Source organism: Homo sapiens, chromosome 1, assembly GCF_000001405.40.
Source record: "Homo sapiens chromosome 1, GRCh38.p14 Primary Assembly".
Classification (NCBI taxonomy): domain Eukaryota; kingdom Metazoa; phylum Chordata; class Mammalia; order Primates; family Hominidae; genus Homo; species Homo sapiens.
The window spans coordinates 196,044,327-196,066,718 of NC_000001.11; the positions used below are offsets into that span (position 1 = coordinate 196,044,327).

Genomic DNA, 22,392 nt, shown 5'->3' on the forward strand with positions numbered 1-22,392 from the left:
GTGCGCCACCACGCCTGGCTAATTCTTGTATTTTTGGTAGAGGCGGGGTTTCACCATGTTGGCCAGCCTGATCTTGAACTCCTGACCTCTAGTGATCCGTCCTCCTTGGCCTCTCAAAGTGCTGGGATTACAGGCTTGAGCCACCGTGCCTAGCCAGAAAACACATTCTTACAATGGTTTCAAATGCGTGAGGGCAAACAAATAATTTACTTCTTTTTCCCAGGTTATGAGTGTCATTCTTTTACTATTTGTTAATTGAAAGTATTTCCAGTGATTCTGCAAGAAATGTGAAAAATAGGGACAGGAGTTTCTGAAAATAATAAATGGAGATTCTTTATACTGGCTCTGTCTTTGAATAAATGATATATTTAAGGATTAGGAAAGTAGAAAAATTAGCATTCAGGTATCACAGTAAAGTCAGAGAAAAGCTTGACTAAATGAATAATAAACATATGGAACATGTCACCAAGGAGACCAATTAAAAATGTGATAAATCAAAAGTTCTGCCATCATTTCGAGTGCAACAGAAGTAAAAGGAATAAGACAAGAGAACACAAGTAGATGCTTTCTTTATTGACAAAGTTAAGTCATTATTTCTTTTCTTCACATAAAATATTCCAATTGATATCTCTATTGGTGTAAAATGCTTAACAGCAACCTCATCTTTACATATAATTTTTAAAATTAACAGTTTTCCCATTGGAATTCTATTTTTAAATACTCATTTTTGTATCTTTATTCTCTCATTATCTTTGCCATTCATTTTGCTGACTACAAAAATTGTGACGCTTTGAAGATATATATCTTCTTTTTTGGTATTATTATAATAGATGAATATGTAGCCAATTCTATTTACTGAGATAATCTTTCACACGTGGTAGATACAGGTATCTTTCTTAACTTCCTATATATCTTCACCGTTTTCCCAGATACTATTTAAATAACCAAAAATGCAATGTTTGTAATTAAGGCATCCTTGACCTTCCTCTTAAAATGCAAATTTCTCCAAAGACATAATGTATACATAATCAGCTGTATCTTGTAATAAGATTTATTATATTACTTTCCAACAAAACTTACAGAGAAACTAAAACCTGGGCCAAGTTAACTTTTGATTAGACAGAGGGTGCTGATTTTGCAGAGTGCAGAGTTTTGCTCATCTCTGAAGATGTACAGTCTCTGGGCAGGCAGAGAGAGGCCTCTGGAAACAGAACTGCATGGAAGAAAGATTAGAGATATCAGAAGGGTTATGAAGAAAAATTTTTTAAAAACTGACTTCAAAACGCAAACTCTACATTTGGAGTAGTCAATGTGTTTTACTATTTTAGTTCTATATATCATTAAATATTTATAAATTTCTGTGAAAATAAACATGTAAATTAGCTCATCCAAATTAAGACTGTATGACTTCATTATTGATATTTTTAAAGCACTTAGTAACAAACCACAAAATGGAAATGATATCTGCTCATTCACTCTACTAATAATTACTGAACATTGACTTTGCTCAGTGAACTGTGCTTGCACATAATTCGCAATACAGTAGCGAGTATGAATAATACTTCTTTAGTACTCTACAATGGGTTATTACAGATACTTTGACTAGTCTGATCTTATGGTGCTAAATGTTTTGATCTCAGGTTGCAGTACTAAAAAATAAATTTATTCATAAGATAACAATTTAAAAGAAAAGAGAAGAAATACTGCATCAGAATGTTTTAAAGGAAGTTGCATTTTCACAACTATAAATGTACTTCATTTAGACAGGATTCATAACACATATACTTTGAAGAATTATGTGTTTATATGTTTTCTATTTTTCTTAATCTCTGAATGAAAAAACTATGAAGTGATATATTTGAGTATTATGTTTCTTTGAAAAGGGATGATAGTTCATTGAAATGTTTTCTAAATCATTTCATAGTTTCATATAAAATGTCAGCAGTGGATAAAATCTTTGAGTTCCTGCTTAGGTAAATTATTTTACATTATGTTTAGTTTTCTATTTAACTCCATATAAAATCGAAACTGTATTCTTCTAGAAAATAATTGTAATGCTTAGATGTTATCAAAATGCACAACAGGTTGCATCACACTATAAATTATATTTTTTAAATTAGTATTTTCTGTTAATGTTAGGACTAAAATACATCACAAACACAACAATGAAAGATAACCAGTTTAATTAGATCCCATTTGTCAATTTTGGCTTTTGTTGCCATTGCTTTTGGTGTTTTAGACATGAAGTCCTTTCCCGTGCCTATGTCCTGAATGGTAATGCCTAGGTTTTCTTCTAGGGTTTTTATGGCTTTAGGTCTAACGTTTAAGTCTTTAATCCATCTTGAATTGATTTTTGTATAAGGTGTAAGGAAGGGATCCAGTTTCAGCTTTCTACATATGGCTAGCCAGTTTTCCCAGCACCATTTATTAAATAGGGAATCCTTTCCCCATTGCTTGTTTTTCTCAGGTTTGTCAAAGCTTCTGCACAGCAAAAGAAACTGCCATCAGAGTGAACAGGCAACCCACAAAATGGGAGAAAATTTTTGCAACCTACTCATCTGACAAAGGGCTAATATCCAGAATCTACAATGAACTCAAACAAATTTACAAGAAAAAAACAAAAACCCCATCAACAAGTGGGCAAAGGACATGAACAGATACTTCTCAAAAGAAGACATTTATGCAGCCAAAAAACACATGAAAAAATGCTCATCATCACTGGCCATCAGAGAAATGCAAATTAAAACCACAATGAAATATCATCTCACACCAGTTAGAATGGCAATCCTTAAAAACTCAGGAAACAACAGGTGCTGGAGAGGATGTGGAGAAATAGGAACACTTTTACACTGTTGGTGGGACTGTAAACTAGTTCAACCATTGTGGAAGTCAGTGTGGTGATTCCTCAGGGATCTAGAACTAGAAATACCATTTGACCCAGCCATCCCATTACTGGGTATATACCCAAAGGACTATAAATCATGCTGCTATAAAGACACATGCACACGTATGTTTATTGTGGCACTATTCACAATAGCAAAGACTTGGAACCAACCCAAATGTCCAACAACGATAGACTTGATTAAGAAAATGTGGCACATACACATCATGGAATACTATGCAGCCATAAAAAATGATGAGTTCATGTCCTTTGTAGGGATATGGATGAAACTGGAAATCATCATTCTCAGTAAACTATCGCAAGAATAAAAAACCAAACACCGCATATTCTCACTCATAGGTGGGAATTGAACAATGGGAACACATGGACACAGGAAGGGGAACATCACACTCTGGGGACTGTTGTGGGGTAGGGGGAGGGGGGAGGGATAGCATTGGGAGATATACCTAACGCTAGATGACGAGTTAGTGGGTGCAGCGCACCGGCATGTCACATGTATACGTATGTAACTAACCTGCACATTGTGCACATGTACCCTAGAACTTAAAGTATAATAATAAAAAAAAAGAAAGATAACCAGTTTGCTAAATATTGGAATGCAAGCTTCTTTTGGTATATTTTTATATAAACAGTGCCTAATATAGTCCCAATCACTTAGTAAAGGTACTTAATAAATCTTTGTTCAGTTAGTTTAGGAACTTATGTAGGCAAAGTGACTGCTTACTTGAGCAGCCAGGTTGATGCAAATCAATAGATTTCTTAGAAACACTATGTTCAGAGTTGAATGTTAAGCAAATATGTAAATCTAAGTGGAAGCAAAAGAGAGAGGAGAAAAATGAGGCAGGGAAGACAAAGGAGGAGGCTGGAGAAGTCAGTAGCAGGAGAAAGAAGAGGGAGAGAGAAGTTAGAGCATTTACTATTTATATTTACCTGTAGCGCCTTCGCCGTTCCTCTCAGTACCCTTAATCTCCTGGTTGGTGCATCTTTCTCCGATTACTACTAAGGGGATCAGAGCTACTACAGAGTTTCTGGGATACGTTTGAACCTGCACTGGCTTATGCTGGAAATCATCAATGCCATACTTAAAATATTCATAATACTTACAAAATGTTCTAGTTACATATTGTTTGCAATACCACCCTCAACTGTATGCTGTATTGAAAATTACCTAATGAGAACATAGATAACCTTCTATTTGATAATTAAGAATGGTCATTTCACAAAATATTTCTTTATAACCACAAAACAAGCAAACAATAAAAAAGCGTCTCTTTTCCTACACCTAAGATGCCCAGCATTCCCAAGGAAAAATAAACTCTGTATTTTTATGTATTTTAAGAACTTCATGTTTTAATTTCTCATCAGGGCATTTGACCCTGCCTATTAGTCTCTTTTCTCAATTTTTCTTTTATACTTAATTACCCTCTTCAAATCCCCATTTCTGGTGAACATTCTGCTATTTATTGAATGATAATTCATAATTCATGAATTTTCTCAAATTTTTATTCTCATAGAGAAATATGTGTTCTCCTCTTTAGCTCCACTCTCAGAAACAATAAAAGGCATAGTAACACTCTTTACTGATCTGTTAATATATTCAAAGAATTGTGCTAAAAAAGTCGTTATCAATAATTATGTTATTTAATATCAGATAGATACTAATATTGGCATCTTTTTTAAAAATAATGAAACTGAAGTTTCAAAAGGTTAGGTAACATTGCAGCGGTTAGTTAAATCCACGTAGTTAATATGTAGCAGAACCAGAATTTGCACGATCCTGATTGGCGATCTCTCTGTTACCTAAATTGAAAGGGAATAAATATTATTTCTTTCCATCAGATTTAATTCTCAGCCTGTGCTATAGACACATCCCCCCTTCCTCCGTAATTATCCATTGGGGAAATAAATGGAAGAGAGTTTGAAGAAGATAATGTGGTCAATTGTTTTATTTCTTAATTTCTCAGCTTCCTTTATTACCTCTACTAATGGCCCTTGCTCTATCACACTTTATTTTTTAGTTATATTTAACCTGTTTTGTCTTCCACTATTTCATGCACACCCTTTACCTCCAAGTTACATACTTATATAGTTAACTTTATTTCCCTCTAGGCTTAAGCCTTTTTTGTGGGCAGATTCTCTACCATTTCTTTTTTTAATTTTATCGCCTGTGTCTTGAGTATCTGCTACAATTGATATAGTTGATCAATTGTATCATAGTTGATATTCAATAAATAGGTGTTTAATGAATAAATCTCAATGTCTCTGTCATAATAAAAAAGAATCGTCTTCTTCAGGTTTTTTCAAAACTACATGGTAACTCTTTTGTTTCTTCATTCAACTGGTAGTTAAAGGCTAGTCCCCCAGAGATTTTTCCTTAGTCATCTATCCTCACTCTATCATCTTCCTTTGGAAAATGTGTTCCATATTCAACATTCAATTTCTACTTGTAGTATGCTAGTTATTTCTGATGAATCTCTCTCTTCTGCTCAGGCCTCTATTTTCTGCATTTGTCTTATATATTCAACTTCCATTTATACGTGAGTGTCCCATATGCATCAGGTATAAAATTAAGCCTCTCTTCCCCCATAACATACTTGTCCTATATTCGCTGCTCGTGAAAGAAACCAGTGATTACCTACTTTCTTAAGCTAGAAGCCTGTGAGTTATATAAGATAGATGTACTTTCTTGTTCACATATAACTTCTCTACACCAAAATGTAATTGACTTCCCCTTGCTTGCCACCACTGCTACCACTGTATTAACTTAGTACTTTATCTTTTCTTTCATGTATTAATAATTTTAACTAATATTTCTCTATTTTTCTCAATGCATTATGCATGAATTTCCAAAAGTACAGTCCTGATTTTGCAATACTCTTATTTAAAATCCTTTGCTGGTTCACCTTATTTTCAAAACAAAAATACAAACTACTCTATGTGTTATGTACAAAACATCCTTTATAAGATATACAAGTTTTCAACTTTATTCATAGTGAAATAAATAATATAAAAAGTATGTTAACCAAATCGAACAGTTTTCTTATGCATGTGTGCAGTCGAATGCTATTATAGCAATGGCAAAATATGGGTTATTTCTTTTTCTCTCAATTGATGTATTTATTCAACTCAGAAATTTTATTTAACTGTGAATTTCCTCATTTTTCTATTCTGTTAGTCAAAAACAGCACATCTAAAATTGCAAATGAACTCTTCAATTTCAGAAATATTGTGAATATCATTTGGACAGCAGTTTCTGTTCTGATTATTCTGTTAGAATTCCTTTTCGGGATACATGGTTTTTAACTAATTTTCTATGTACATAAAAAATAGCCAGTGTCCTGCAGATAGAAAGTGAAAAAGTTTTTAACCTGATGTTAAATTGATTTACCATCATTATTAGAAGTACATAGAGATAAAGAAATTTAAAATATTATTATTTTTTGCTATGATGTTTTCTATTCCTTTTCCCCCCAAATGGCAATGTTGTTGAGTAATTCATTTAAGGATATCAAGATTGTTAAACCCTATAAGTTTTAATTTTCTAAACTGGTTGTTCTAAGATTAGCTATATGTAACTTATTGCTTGAATTTAGGGCACAAGTGTTCACTTTTCAGACTGTAGCAGCACAGTTTTTATTTCTGACTTGTAATTTTGATATTAAACTTCAAACTTCTAAAAATAACAAATAAATACCACACTTTAATGAAAAACCTGTCTTCAATGAAAATATAGTTTCTAGTCTCCTGATTAGTCAACCTGAAAAAAATAAAAGCAACTTTTGCAAATGTTCTTTGCTCTAAAATACTTGACATTTTCTATTCCTATTCTTCTCTATTTTTTGTGTATTGTTCTTCCTACACTTTTTTGGATATTTTTTTCTGGCAATTATTTGCAGTTCTGGATTATTTTGATTCAAGATTTAATTTAGCTGGCATTTGTTGAAATTCTGCCAAATAACATGTTAGTCATAAAGGGTAAGCACATGAAATAAGCACAGACTCTATCCTTCATTATTCACAGACAAAAAAAATTGAGAAAGTCAGCATTTATTGAGCTCCTACTGTTTGCCATACTGCCTCTGATATTTATGACAGGCATAACTTCTCAGGCTGAAACGACTACCCTTAAGAGAATGTGTTATCACCTATTATTTACAAATAGGAAGAGCTCTAAACATTAGATGTAAGTCTTAAATAGTTGGGCCAAGATTTAAATGTATGAGGATGTAATAGTATGCACACTATGTCTAGTAAGCACCATGGTGCTTCAAAAATTATTTTTTTAGTATCAATACATGCTCAATCTTATCAATTTCTTTAATGTAAATTTTAGCTTTAGTTTTAATTGAGTGTCACAGAACTCTGGATATTTTCAAGTATGTCTTCCTAATATGACCCAAACATGATCTCTGTTGTTTTTTAAATACCTTTGATATAAAGTAAATTGAAGAATTTGTCTTTCTTGACATCAGTTCATCATACTCTGGATTGATGTAGCTTTACATTGTCTTTGAAAGATAGTATTAATACTCTTTGTCTCTTCTGATAGTTTTGTGGGATTTTTTTTTTAAACAAGTTGCTTTGGTTATTCCAGGCCCTTTGTATTTTCACATGAATGTTAAAGCCACTTAATCCCTGCTAAAACTTTTGTGGAAGTTTCCATTGGGATCGTATTGAACCTGTAGACTAATTTAGGGAGAATTGACATTTCAATGATTAATATGTCTTCTGACTTGTGAATACAGTATATCTCTCTATGTCTATGTTTCTTTAATTATTTTGGCAATTTTTTATAGTTTCTAGCATACAGATATTTCACAGCTTTTTTTCAGATTTACCTCTACATATTTACCACTTGCTGATGCTATTGTAAATGGTATTTTAAAATTTCAGTTTCTCATTTTCATTACTAATATATAGGAATGTAATTGATTATTTACATTGATGTATATTATTTCATATATGCATTACTACTGTTCTATTAGATTTTAAGTAGATTCCAATAAACATTTTAAAAAGACGATTATGCCTTGTGTGGATAAAAACAGTTTACTTCTTCCTTTCCAATTTGGAAACTTTTTGTTTCATTTTTCTGCTTTATTGCACTATTTGAGCCTCCAGTAAAATGTTTAATAGAAATGATGAGAGCAGACATCCTTGTTTTGTTCCTGATTTAGGGAGAAAGTGTTCAGTCTTCCACCATTAAATATGATGAGATATCTAGATCTTCATAGTTGGTATTCATGAGGTTGAGGAAGTTCCTTTCTATGCCTAGTTGGCTGAAAACTTTTATTAGGAATTCTAGATTTTGTCAAATGACTTTTTCCATAGCTATTGAGATGATCTTTTTCTAAATAATTTAATATGGTGAACTACATTGCATTTTTTGCATTCCTAAGTAAAACCATTTTGTCACCACGTATTATTCATTTTGCTTATTGATGTATTCTGTTTTTGTTTTAGATTTTTGTAACTTTCATCAGGTGGTACTTTGGTCTGTAGTTTTCTTGAAGTGTTTCTGTTTAGGTTTTGGTGTCAGGTTAATTCCATACACATGATTCACTTGAAAAGTATTCCTTTCCACTTTTCTGGAAGAGTTTGTTTAGAATTTGTATTATTTTTCTCTCAAATATATTGTAGAAATCACTGGTGATGTAATCTGGACTTAGAATTTTATTTGTAGCAAGGTTTGTTACTACAAATGTAATTCCTTTATATATAGGACTCTACAATTTATTTCTTCTTGGGTAAGTTTTGGTAGTAGGTGTCTTTCAAAAAACTGGTACATTTCATATAAACTATTAAATACAGTGGTATAAAGTTGTTCATAACATTCTCCTAATATTCTTTTAATATCTAGAGAAACTGTACTAATATCACTTTTTGCTTAGAAACTATACTAATATCACTTTTCCTAATTAATCTGGTTAAAGGTTTAAAATCAATTTTATTAATTATTCTCAAAAACAAACTATTGATTTTGATTTTGACCTTTCTTCTTTTTTTGTTATAGGAATTCAGTGGTATAAAATTTTTCCTATGTACTGCTTTTGCAATATACAATATACATTTTCAAATGTCATCTTTTCTTTTTCGTTTAGGTCAAAATACTTGTAATTTTCTTTTGGTTCTCTCACTGGCTCATCAATTATTTAGAAGTGATTGTTTATTTTGAAACTACTTAGGAGTTTCTCAGAAATCTTTCTGTCTTTAATATCAAATTTTATTCCATTGTGGCCAGAAAATATACTTTGTAGACTTGAATCATTTTGGATTTATTAAAAGTTGTTAGTTGTTATAGTTGATTTATTAAAAGTTGCTAGAATATGATCAATCTTTGTAAAAGTATTACATGCAGAAACTCTTCCAGAAAATTGACAAAGTATGAATGCTTCCCAAATAATCCCATGTGTTCTACATCATAAGAACATGTATTCTGCTTTTATTGGGTAGACTACTCTATACATTAAATTAGATCAGGTAGGTTGACCTAATTTCAAATCATCTATATTTTTCAAGTCAACTGCTGTATACCTGGGGTGATTTTCTATCTATTTATTCTATCATCTCTTTTATACAAAGTGGTATTAAAGTCTCCAGCTATCATTATTAATTTGCCAATCTTTTCTTAAAATTCTATTAGACTTTATGTATTCTGAAGTTCTGTTATTTTGAAACCGTTTTTAAATACATAAACACCTAACCTTTTAATGCTTTCCAGATGAATATGTACCTTTATTATTATGAGATGGACCACTTGATCCCTAGCCATATTCTTTGCTCTGAACTCTAATATTTAAAAAAGAATCTTTAGCTTTCTTTTGGTAGTATGAGAGACTTAGCCTGGTATACATTTTTAAAATATTTATATCTTTAGATTTAAAGTATTTTGCTTAAAGGTGGTGTTTATCATTTTTTTAATGTTACTCTCCTCCTTAATTTTTCTATTTGTACATTTTGGCTTTTCAGACTATTTACATAAAATGTGAGTATGGAAATTTTTAAGTTTAAAACTATCAGTTTGCTGTACACTTTGTATTCTCCCATCTATTCTTTATTCTATCTCTTTCAATTATTTTCTATTTATTTTCTATTTCTCTGCCTTTTGGATTTATTTAATTTTACGATTCCATTTTACCTTCTTTGTTGACATATTAGCTACGACTCTTTATTTTGATAGAATACATCTTTAACTTGTTACTCTTTATCTTCAAATGTTGTTATATTACTTCACTTATAGTATAAGCACAGTAAATAATGGACTTCCCTTTTATCCCCAGCTGGCACTTGTGTGTTATTGTTACAACATCTACTTACTTCGTACACTTCACTTTCAATTTCGTTGCTATTATCTATATTTAAGTAGTCAACTATATTTTAAATGAATTTGAATAAAAAATAGATATATATATTTTCTCCACATATTCACATTTACATTTCCAGTACTTTCATTTTTTTGTACAGCTGATGAATTTGAAGTTTTCTTTAAGTATATTAGGAGTTACAGGTCACATATGGTCTCTGTTTCAGATTCTCTTTTTTTTTTTCCTTTACCATCCTTTAAAAGTATAAAAACCAGGCTATCTCGTGGCTACACAAAAGAGGCTACTGGGCAGATTGTGATACATGGTTTGCCAACCCCTGGCATAGATGTGTGTTTATATCAAGTATCACTTTTTCTTCTGCCTGAAAAATATAGCTTAACATTTAGGTGGTGAGAGTATGCTGGTGATTAATTATTTCAACTTTTCATTGCCTTAAACTGTATTTATTATTCCCTTTTTAAACTCACTTTTTTTTTTGGAAGGATGTTTTCACTGGCTATACCATTCTAGGTTGACAGTTTCTTTTTCTGCAGCACTCTAGATCTTTAAATATTTGTATCTACTCTCTTCTTGTTTGCATTGTTTCAAATGAAATATCTGATGTAATCTTATTTTTTTCTCTGTACATAACATGTTTCTTTCCTTTGGATTTTTAAAAAAATTTTCTCTCATCACTAGTTTTGAAATATTTGATTATAATGTATTTTGGTATAGTAGTCTTTCACTGGGATTTACTGAGCTTCTCAGATCAGCAGCTATATAATTTTCACCAAATTTGAAAGCTTTTAGCCATTATTATGTCAATTTTTTTTGCACTCCACTTTTTTAGGGACTCCAATTGTAGGTTTATTAGGTAACCTGAAGTTGTACCACAGCTCACTGATGCTGTTTATTTTCTTCTCCTCCTTAATGTCTATGTAAAATTATAGATGATTCATGTTGCTATGCCTTCAAGTTTATTATTTTTTCAATTTCTACGTAGTCATTAACCTATCAAGTTATTTTTCAAATTTCACATTGTAGTTTTTTTCTTTAATAGTTCCATTTGAATCTTTTTAAATAACTTTTCTCTCTCCACTAACTTTTTAAATGCATGGAAAATAGGTTGGTTAATTTTTTTCCTCTCCTTATTATAGGTCACATTTTTCTGTTTCTTTGCATGCCTGCTAATTTTTTCATTGGATTCAAACAGTTGAATTTTACTTTTATGGATGCTGCAAATTTTTGTGTTTCTATAAATAAGCTTTGTTTTGTGATGCAGTTAACTACTTGGAAAGAGTTTTATCCTTTTTTGTCTTGCATTTGAGGTTTGCTAGGTGGTTCTGGAGCAGTCCTCTTTGTAGGGCTAATTATTCTCCACTGCTAAAGCATTACTTTTCTGTATACTCTACCCTGTGCCCTGTCAATTATGTTATTTTCCATCCTGTTTAGTGGGAACAGACACTACTCCACATTCTCTATGAGTGCTGGGTATTCTTCTTCTAATCTTTCATGTTCTTCTCCTGGTCTTGGGTAGTTTCCTCCTACATATTGCTAACCAAGACTCATGGAATATTTAAGGGCAATCCTCTATAGATCCCCAGAATTCTATTTCTGGGCATCTCTTTACTCTATGATACTCTGTCCTAAAAATTCCAGTTTCTTTGTCATTCTTCAACCCTTAGCTTCATCTCTTTGACTCAAGGATTCCATAGTCTCCATCTGGTTCTCTCTATATATGCCAAGATCTGGAAAATCTCTCAAGGCAATACACTGGAGTAATTCTAGGACTTGCCTTATTATTTCTCATCTTTCAGGAATAATTGTTATCTATTGCCTGATAATAACTTTCTAAGATCACCATTTTATATATTTGGTTGGTTTTTATTTATTCCTATAGGAGGGTAAATCTGATCCTTGTTAATCCATCTTGGTCAAAAGCATAAGTGCCCTTCAGCTGTTTTCAATCTATTCAACAATATGGTCAGAACTAAATTAAATATGGCTAGAGGGACCTGGAATTAAAGTAAATAGAAAAGTAACATTTTAATTATCTCCTGTTATCTATTTTAGCTACAGATTTACACCAATTTGGACTTTATTTCTCAAGTTAAAGCATTCTAATTGTAATTTACTTTGATTAAGAAGGATAATACTATTGGACATGATAAGTTTCAATTAAACTGATTATTTATTTGAATTCCTTCCAAAGGCTCAAGACCATTTCCTAGTAGTCTTGAGCCTTTGGAAGGAATTCAAATAAATAATCTGGCTTTGAGTTGCCTAGATCTCACAGACTAAGTTCTCCCTTCCTGATTTTTGGGTCAGAACACTTTGCATATTTAACTGAACACTTTGTAATAAAAAAATAAACACAATTAATTATTTGCAGGTCTCTTTTTCTATTTCCCTATGGCCCCAGTATAGTGAGTTTAAGGGATTTGGATCCTGATCAGGGAAAAAGATATAATCGCCATGTGGCAGGAACACACAATGAGCTTTATTTGGGTAAGAATTTGACAGGTTTGCATGCATGGGAAGACCATAATAGCATACGACCACCAGAGGCTATGACACAGAAGGAGAAGAAGGCAAAGGAACTCACACAGGATAGGGTACCAGTTAGGCGGATTGTGTGTCTAGGTGACATCAGTCAGCAACACAGCAGGGGGTCTCTGGGTCAGAGAGCACCAAAGGGCAGCAGCAGCTGGGGCTCCTTCTTAGCTACAGGATTTATTTTATCAACGGCTAGTGGATGTTAAATGCAGTTTTGTATGGTATACATAGGTGATAGCCTAAGTTGCTTGTTATAATCTGCTTTTTGGAGCTATGTGTGAAACCACTGTGTACAATTTTGGGTTTGATGCTGGAGGCCTTCTGAGTTAATTAGTCCCAGCTTGCTATGAAAAAGTAAACAACAGAGGGTCAATAACACAGAGGGTATCCTTATCTCATGTATATAACAATCCATTCCTTGGTCTCATATTGTTTTACAATCTAATGCTTGCATTTAGAGCCAGTGATGAAGTATCTTTGACTCAGACCCTTAAAAGGATGTGAATTAGGATTTCAGAAGGTGTTTGCAGCTTGTTTGACCATGTACTAAGGAAAAGCAAAGCAAACAGCTCAGAAAAGACTTTAATTTGCTCAATCTGTTTGGGCAGTACAGTGCTATTATGGCCCTTTGCTCCATGTTCCTACCTATCCACATACCGCAAGATGTTTAACTGGAGTACAGACCCCTCATTTGGTAGCCAATAAAAAAATCTAGGACTATGGAATTATCTAACATAATGGCCACTAACGTATGGTAAGATTCAACCAAGAGTTTTAGTCCATGGGCCATTTGCTTAATTTGTGTGGCTAACACCTTAGACATGGATAACCGTGTGTCTTTAATTGTGTTTGGTACGTTGTACATATGCTATTCTTACTGTCCCAGAAATGTGTGATCCTAAAGTGGTTAGCACTTTGAAGACTATTAGGAAAACTCATTTGCAGTATTGGAGAGTTGTGGCTAGTGTGGTTTATAGAGGCAAGAACTTTGGAAGGAGGGGGCGTGGTGGGCTTCCACTGCTGAGTAAAAATCTACTGGAATTTTGATCCAAATCAAAGTGCAGGAAATATCGTCCAGGGTCTGATGAGGAAAAACCATTTGGTTCCCTTACAGGCCCACAATACTTCCTCTCTTCTGTGTCTCTATGAAGGCAAGTTTTTATAGTTTGGTGCAATTGCAGAGAGTGTTGATAAAGGTTAGGGTAAAATAAGCACGTATGATATGAGCACCTGGGTCTACTAAATTGGTTATGGGCTCAATTTATTATTGTCCAGATATCTGCATGATATCAGTCTCTGTATATTATTGTTGGATGTGGACAGTTATTGGAATAGGCTCATTATGATAAATGAGGTTTGCAGGGGAACCTGGAGAGGGGAGAGTATTATTCTATGTTACATAAAATCAGGCTGGCAGAAGCAACCCCAGCATGTGGTTAAATTTGTCATAGTACATGTTTCTGAGTCAATGACTATGTGCAGGTTTGGTATGGTGGGCAATTGCATGTCCCTCCTTGTTCAGACTGGTATATATTGGTGCTTGAGTTGCCTGCCAACGGCCATTAGTAAATGCCATAAGCCATAAGCATGGGAGAAGCCTTGCAGGTGCTCCTGGTTATTTGAACAGTCAACATTATACATTAATATTGCTTGGTATTTTCACTTACTCTATTATTTTACAGGAACATGTATCATAAAAAGAAATATGAGCCTTAAAACAGGGTCTATTCAGAGAACTTGGATGACAATGGCCCTCCAAGCGGTTAAAAATACTCCCCATAGTCCTAGTAATATTACGTTCACCCTTTTATGGCATAAGTACATCATATTTAAATTCACTGCCAATGAGGAGACCATCTGTAGAGACACTGAGACCTCTGCTGGTATATACAACCACAGTAGACACAACCACAATTGCTAGTTTGCACAGAAAAATGCAAACCAATTTGCATGGGAGCCCTGGCATTACTGCCGACAACAAAGGAATATCACTGGGTAATTTCATCTTTTTCTTGTCTCTTGTAGAAAATTCAACATGTAGAAATTCAACATGATGTAGAAGTAATTGTCCCCCACCCCAGACCAGGTAATACCATTTGGTCGATACCAAGGGTAAAACCAGATCTCTTGCTTCTTGCTAAAGATGACCTCCATCTTTAACCTCTACTATGTTGTTCTTCCTTCTTATCTGAAAAGTTTTTACCTTTGCTAGTGGTAACTACACATCCACTGGAGAATCATGTTAGTCTTGGTAATTTACACCCTACCACTGACAAGCTATGTCTGAAAACAGCATGCAATGTGTACACCAGGGGGAGGCAAATAACATGAGTCAGTCTGGGGACATTGGAACCATACTGTTGACTATTTGGGTAGATCAGTCCTAGTAACATCACCACAAACATCAACACTTAGGCTAGCATTCCTCCTCCTATTCTACCACCACTAGCAACACTCATTCCAGCTAAACCAGACTCTTGGATATTACTTGTGACTCAATGACACCTTCTAAGTCCTATCAGCCAACGTTTACTTCAAATCAACAAAATAAAACACACTTTATTAACTAGTGCTATCAAACAAACAGAACAATGAATCACTATCTATCAAGTCTCATTTACGGAATGTCCAGAAATTGTGTTCACCCAATATTACAATAAAAATGCTCGCACTTGCTACAATCAATCAAAATGCTATAATTCATAGACAATACCAACAAATACTACAGGATTAAACAATAACATTATAGCTCTTACTAATCCCTGGGATAATAATAAAAGTAACCCTTGCCAAAAATATACACCCCTTGCTATATACTAAATGTTTGTGACCTCTCTAAAATTTACATGTCGAAATGTTAACCCCTACTGTGATGGTATTGGGAAATGGCACCTACAGTAGGTGATTACGTTAAAAGTCCAGAACCTTCACAGACAGGATTAGTGTCCTTATAAAGAGAAGTCAGAGAGCTCTCTTGCCCCATTTGCCACATGAGGACACTGAGAAGTTGTCAATTTGCAACCTGGAAGAGGACCCTCACCAGAACCCGGCAATACCGGCATCCTGATCTCAGACTTCCTGACCTTCAGAACTGTGAGAGATAGATTTCTGTTGCTTATAAGCAGTGCATGGATTTTTTTTTTTATAGCAGCTGGAGCTGACTAAGACACCCTTACAACTCTTCGTCTCTTTTCCTGTGACAGTTATGTGCCACATAAGGACTTTTGATAAATGACAGACCACATATTAGATGGTGGTCCCATAAGATTAAAATAATAAATTTTATTGTACCTTTTCTATGTTTATGTATGCTTACATAAACAAATACACATGGCTAATTACTGAAATTTGCATTAGATTTGAATGTATTAAAGTAATTGCCCTGATCCTTCACTTCTGGGCACACAGAGTTTAATTATGGACTTATTCTGCATTTCAAATACTTGGCACCAACAAGATAGAGAACTAAGGAATAGTTAAGAGAAAATGATAAAATATTATTCTACTGAGGAAAATGCTAAGAACCACAATACATCTGAGTAAAAATAATAATAATCTGAAATTCAAATTAAAAGGTCAAAAGTTACATAGAAGGTTGCAGTGCCATACAAGGCATTGAGTGATGTTACATAGCAAATTGTACATGAGATAATAATAGACAGCCAAAATGACAATTGTTCCCTAAGCTGCATATCAAAATGCATTATGCTGCCAAGTAGTAAGATCATGATCTCCATATATTAAAAATAAAAGCAGCATATGAGATACACTTGCTCTTAGTGGACTGAAAGGTATGGAATATGTAAGACACTGGTGAGTAAAAACTAATTTATCACTTTTCTGGATATCAGTGGTATGTGGTTGGAACTCTGGGGAAGGGGTCAGGTGATAAACGTTAAGCTATTTACCTTCAAAATTCTTCTGTGAACTGATGACAATTGTGCTTCAAATCTCCTTTTCTGAGAAATTTTTCTTTGCTCCTTACGTTTTTCTGCAAAGAGTCCCTGCTGCCTAATCATTTCCACTTTGCTTCTTCAAAAACACAAGTCCGTATTGTCCTAAGGAACAGTTGAAGTTCCACTTTCTTTTGCCTGTAGAGATATTGATTAGTCCTGAATTACGGTTATAGCTTTATTCCCATATATATCTCTGTTCTGTGAAAGGGTCACATGTGCAAAGCAGCCCCCAAACTCCACAGGAGCCTAGAAACCAAAGAATGAGGCAGAAACACCCAGTTTGCTAGTAAAAAGTGTTTTAATGGTGGAATTTAGAGACAGAAGTGTGGACTTGGGAGGCAATAAGGAAGGTAGATCTCTACATTGTCACCTCCCAGACTTACATTCCATAGGGAATGTATTCCCTATGCTTATTCCACAGGCTTATATTCCATAAGGAAAAGGTATAGTGCTTCAGCAAGACAATTACAGACAACCCCCCAGAACTGGTAAGAATGCTATGTACATCATAGCCTATAATTTGTACAATAACATCAACACTGACATTTCTTACACTGAAGTTTTTAAAGTTTAAGAACTGTAAGGACAATAAATAATGTAAGAAAACCTAGGCAATACCATTCAGGACATAGGCATGGGCAAGGACTTCATGTCTAAAATACCAAAAGCAATGGCAACAAAAGCCAAAATTGACAAATGGGATCTAATTAAACTAAAGAGCTTCTGCACAGCAAAAGAAACTACTATCAGAGTGAACAGGCAACCTACAGAATGGGAGAAAATTTTTGCAATCTACTCATCTGACAAAGGGCTAATATCCAGAATCTACAAAGAACTCAAACAATTTTACAAGAAAAATCAAACAACCCCATCAACAAGTGGGCGAAGGATATGAACAGACATTTCTCAAAAGAAGACATTTATGCAGCCAAAAGACACATGAAAAAATGCTCATCATCACTGGCCATCAGAGAAATGCAAATCAAAACCACAATGAGATATCATCTCACACCAGTTAGAATGGCGATCATTAAAAAGTCAGGAAACAACAGATGCTGGAGAGGATGTGGAGAAATAGGAACACTTTTACACTGTTGGGGGGACTGTAAACTAGTTCAATCATTGTGGAAGTCAGTGTGGTGATTCCTCAGGGATCTAGAACTAGAAATACCATTTGACCCAGCCATCCCATTACTGGGTATATACCAAAAGGCTTATAAAATGTGCTGCTATAAAGACACATGCACACGTATGTTTATTGTGGCACTATTCACAATAGCAAAGACTTGGAACCAACCCAAATGTCCAACAATGATAGACTGGATTAAGAAAATGTGGCACATATACACCATGGAATACTATGCAGCCATAAAAAAGGAAGAGTTCATGTCCTTTGTAGGGATATGGATGAAGCTGGAAACCATCATTCTCAGCAAACTATCGCAAGGACAAAAAAAACCAAACACTGCATGTTCTCACACATAGGTGGGAATTGAACAATGAGAACACATGGACACAGGAAGGGGAACATCACACACCAGGTCCTGTTGTGGGGTGGGGGAGGGCGGAGGGATAGCATTAGGAGATATACCTAATGTTAAATGAGGAGTTAATGGGTGCAGCACACCAGCATGGCACGTGTGTACATATGTAACAAACCCGCACATTGTGCACATGCACCCTAAAACTTAAAGTATAATAAAAAAAAAAAATCAGGAGGCATTCATGGGACTAGAGTTAACCAGAAATCAACATGGCAGATCAAGGTGGAGCCACTTTTGTCTCCACAATTTCTTTAGCTTCAAGAATACATAATATTTATGGGAAAATCATACACACTATTTAGAATCTGGAAAAAATGTTTAGTCCTGCTAAATCATTTACTACCTTTTTGATTTGGCCAAATCATTTAACCTATGACACTTAGATTTTTTGCCTATAAAAACAGAGATAATAAAGACTTGCTTGTAAGATTATTATGAGTCTTGAAAAAAGTATTTGTGAAAACTATCAGGAACACTTTTAGTGTTAATTTTTCTCCTCTTTCACGTCTTAAAAAATAGTAACTTATGCTTGTATTAAAATTTCTCATAAACCCCATAAATATACATGCCTAATACATACCCATTTTTTTAATAACTTAGTGGAAATAAATTCTGTGAATGAGAAACAATAAGGAACTTCATCTGGCATTTTCTTCTATGTAATCTTCATGGGGTTGAAGTGAAAGTATTTTCACATTGTCTGAAATACAATTTGATTAATTAAAGCAATATTTTTACACTGCAGATCATGATCTCTAAAATTAATGAGATTAATTTTTTTTATTTCACAGCTAATTTACCATTATGCTAGTGATAAGATTGGATTCACAATGTTTTATTACTTGGCTCAGAACCAAAATTAGAGACAAAATCACACGCATGGCTTCTTATGTGAATCATCTTGGCACAATATTAACATCAATATGAGATGAAAGGCTGATGAAATTCCACAGACCGTTGAATCAACAAGCTCTTTCTTATTGAACCATCCTCAATGATTCTACCGTGAATGATATGAAAAGCATCACAAAATTATTCCTAACTTCAAGTTCCTTTTCTTTTTGAAATAACTATTTATCTTGTAAAAACTGACTCATTTTTGCCATTTATCAAAAACATTAAGAGTAGAAAAATAGTAACTGATTAATCTTTAAAGCAAAGATAAAATAAGTATTAAGTGAAACTTAGAAAGTCTGTTTCTGTTAAAGGATTTACACTACTATGTGATGGTCATTGAGAGTAAAATATGAATTCCTTTTATATTAGGAATCAGCATCATGTCAGACATAGAAATTTGGTATCATTTTATTTTTATGATCAAGTATTATTCTGATTCAACCACTTACCTTTAATTTGCAAGTTGAATATTAACCTAAACGATGTTGTACAGAAACCTATAAGTGATCTCTATTCTATTTCATTGTTACAAAAGGGAAAAAATTTATCTATAAATAGCCCTCAAGGAAAAAAAATGAAACAATGTGTTCATAAAACAAGCAGTTTGCCCTCACACATGACCTTTCAGGCATGCATCTTGGTCAGGTCTTTTCAAGATGGATCTAACACAGCTTGAGTTTATTGTGGTTGACCACGGCTTCACTCTCCCTGCACTCATTCCTCACTCCTAGGCTGTCAGCAGACCTCCCATTATCTTCTATATTTTGATTCTTTTGCACAAGTCAGACACCAGACTTTTACTTCCAAAATCTGAGGAATACATATCAACACTATTAAATATCTCTCACTCTCCTGGGATTCTATAATGGCACCAATCCTCCCATAGTCCTGGGTTTGGCATGTGGGAATTACCAACCTTGTCCCCTCTCCAATGTCTGGGGGTAGGAAAACACCATCATATTCTCTGTTACACAAATATCTGTTTTTAAAGAACTCCTGACTTTGATCAAGCCCTTTCATGGCCCTCCAGCTTTCTCCTATACATAGGCTGGAATTAGGGGATGGATTGGAGAGTCTAGAACGTATTTTTGGCCACTTTTTAGAGTCTTACCAGGATGCACCAGCATCACTCTTTTGAATGTGTGGCTGTTTAACATCCATTATCATCTATACAGGGACATCAGTTAAAACTCTAAGACAACAGGAAAAGTAAACTTAACATTTTTTTCTAAAATTCTATTACATTCTCATATTTTATCTATGTAGGTATTCTTTTGTTTTATAGGACAATACAATAGGGAAGTTAAATAATTGACCTAATAGCTCACATCTAGAAGGAAGATTTTAAGAAATTCTAATGCAAATCTCTAAACCCCACTACTTTCCAAAAGATGGAATCTTAGTAGGCACATAGTTTATTGGCATAGTTAAGCTGAGGACCTTCCTCAAGTTTAGGGCAATAAACCTGATTTCCAGTTGTAGATACTGGAGAAAATGGGGCCATTACTATACTATTAGGCCCATTAATGGCTGAGTCCACAAGGTGAAAGACTTCTGGCCTTGTATTAATTGGATAAAGTAAAGCAGTATAAGGCAAATAGCCAATAATGCAGTACCTTATTGGGGGTGGGGAAGAAGAAGTTTGTTATTCTCACAGCACTTTAAGCAAGTGAATTGTATTTGTTTTTCTTTTTCTTTTTGAGATGGAGTCCGTCGCCCAGGCTGGAGGGCAGTTGCGCGATCTCGGCTCACTGCAAGCTCCGCCTCCCAGGTTCACGCCATTCTCCTGCCTCAGCCTCCCGAGTAGCTGGGACTACAGGCACCCACCACCACGCCCAGCTAATTTTTTTTGTATTTTTAATAGAGACGGGGTTTCACCATGTTAGCCAGGATGGTCTCGATCTCCTGACCTCGTGATCTGCCCACCTAGGCTTCCCAAAGCGCTGGGATTACAGGCGTGAGCCACCGCTCCCGGCCAAGTGAATTATAGTTCATGTGGTTTTTCAGAAATAGGAATACTTCACAGATTTTAACTTTCCCATTTCCTTGAGTATTATCATTGTCAAGGACAAAGATAGGCTGATATATGCATATTCCCCCTTAAAAGAAAAGAGTTTGGAAAAGCCTATTATCATTTGAAGTCTTTATCGAGGAAGCGGGACACTTCCACCAATTCCATGGGTGAGGACTTACTATAGTTTGAAAGTTTGTGTCTCCCTTCCAAATTCATATGTTCAAATTCTAACCTTTAAATGATATTGTTAGGAGATAGGGCTTTTTCAAAGATAACTGAATTACGAAAAAGAGCCCAATGACTGGGATTTGTGTCCTTATAAAACAGACTGCAGAGAGCCAACTAGCCCCTTCCACCATGTAAGGAAACAGTAAGAAGACACTCTCTGTAAGGATCGGGACCCTCACCAGACACTGAATCTGCCAAAACATCAATCTTATACTTCCCAGCCTCCATAACTGTGAGAAATATGTACATGTTGTTTATAAGCTACCCAGTTTATGGTATTTTGTTATAGCAGCCTAAATGGACTAAGGGAGAACTTAATCATGGGTTTACATTTAACGGAGAAAGAGGTGGATAATCGGGTATATCTGAGTAGTCAAGGGCTTGACTATAACACTTGTATTATGGAAGAAGAGGAGACAAATTATTTTGGGAAAGTAGTATTTGACCCTGACTTACACTAAGACACAATTGCAAATGAAGACAACTAAGCAGATGCGCAGAAAATACAATAAAGTATGGAGAAAGGACACAACAGACAAAGGCAATGGGTGTCCATAATGTAAAATAGGGGACAACCATGTTGGAACTAGGGAGGACAATGATATTTATAACACACATAATAGAGTTAAATATTTGAGAGCAAGGATAAATAAGGTTGGGTAAGTAGGAAAGATCCACCTCCAAGAGGTGTTGGAGGGCTTCAAGAAGAAGACATATGGAATCTGTGTGGTTTAGTGAAAAAAAACAAAATCTAAAATGAAACTTGAACAAAGAATACAGAGAAGTGGATTCCAGCAATAGCATCATTTTTGTCAATAACATATGTAAGTCAGTCTTTCCAAACCTCAATTTCCCCATCTAAAAAATGAATATACTATATTCCAATATTATTAAGACTCTTCTCAGCTATGTTGTCAGCTGTATAAAAAAAGAATCTATATAGAAAAGGATACGTTTTGCTTGGAATAACAAGCTAAGAGCATTATTTTAG

General features: G+C 34.4%; 1 long non-coding RNA gene across 1 annotated transcript in view; it reads right to left on the bottom strand.

Moving 5' to 3' along the window:
• Nucleotides 1-553: 553 nt before the first annotated feature.
• The window catches only part of LINC01724 (long intergenic non-protein coding RNA 1724), a 43,836-nt gene continuing 21,997 nt past the window's right edge, over nucleotides 554-22,392 (bottom strand). The window contains exons 2-4 of the long non-coding RNA NR_146895.1: nucleotides 18,843-18,962; nucleotides 16,671-16,853; nucleotides 554-1,213 (exon numbers count right to left, since the gene is read on the bottom strand). This is a non-coding gene — a long non-coding RNA (long intergenic non-protein coding RNA 1724). The remainder of the gene's footprint in view (nucleotides 1,214-16,670; nucleotides 16,854-18,842; nucleotides 18,963-22,392) is intronic.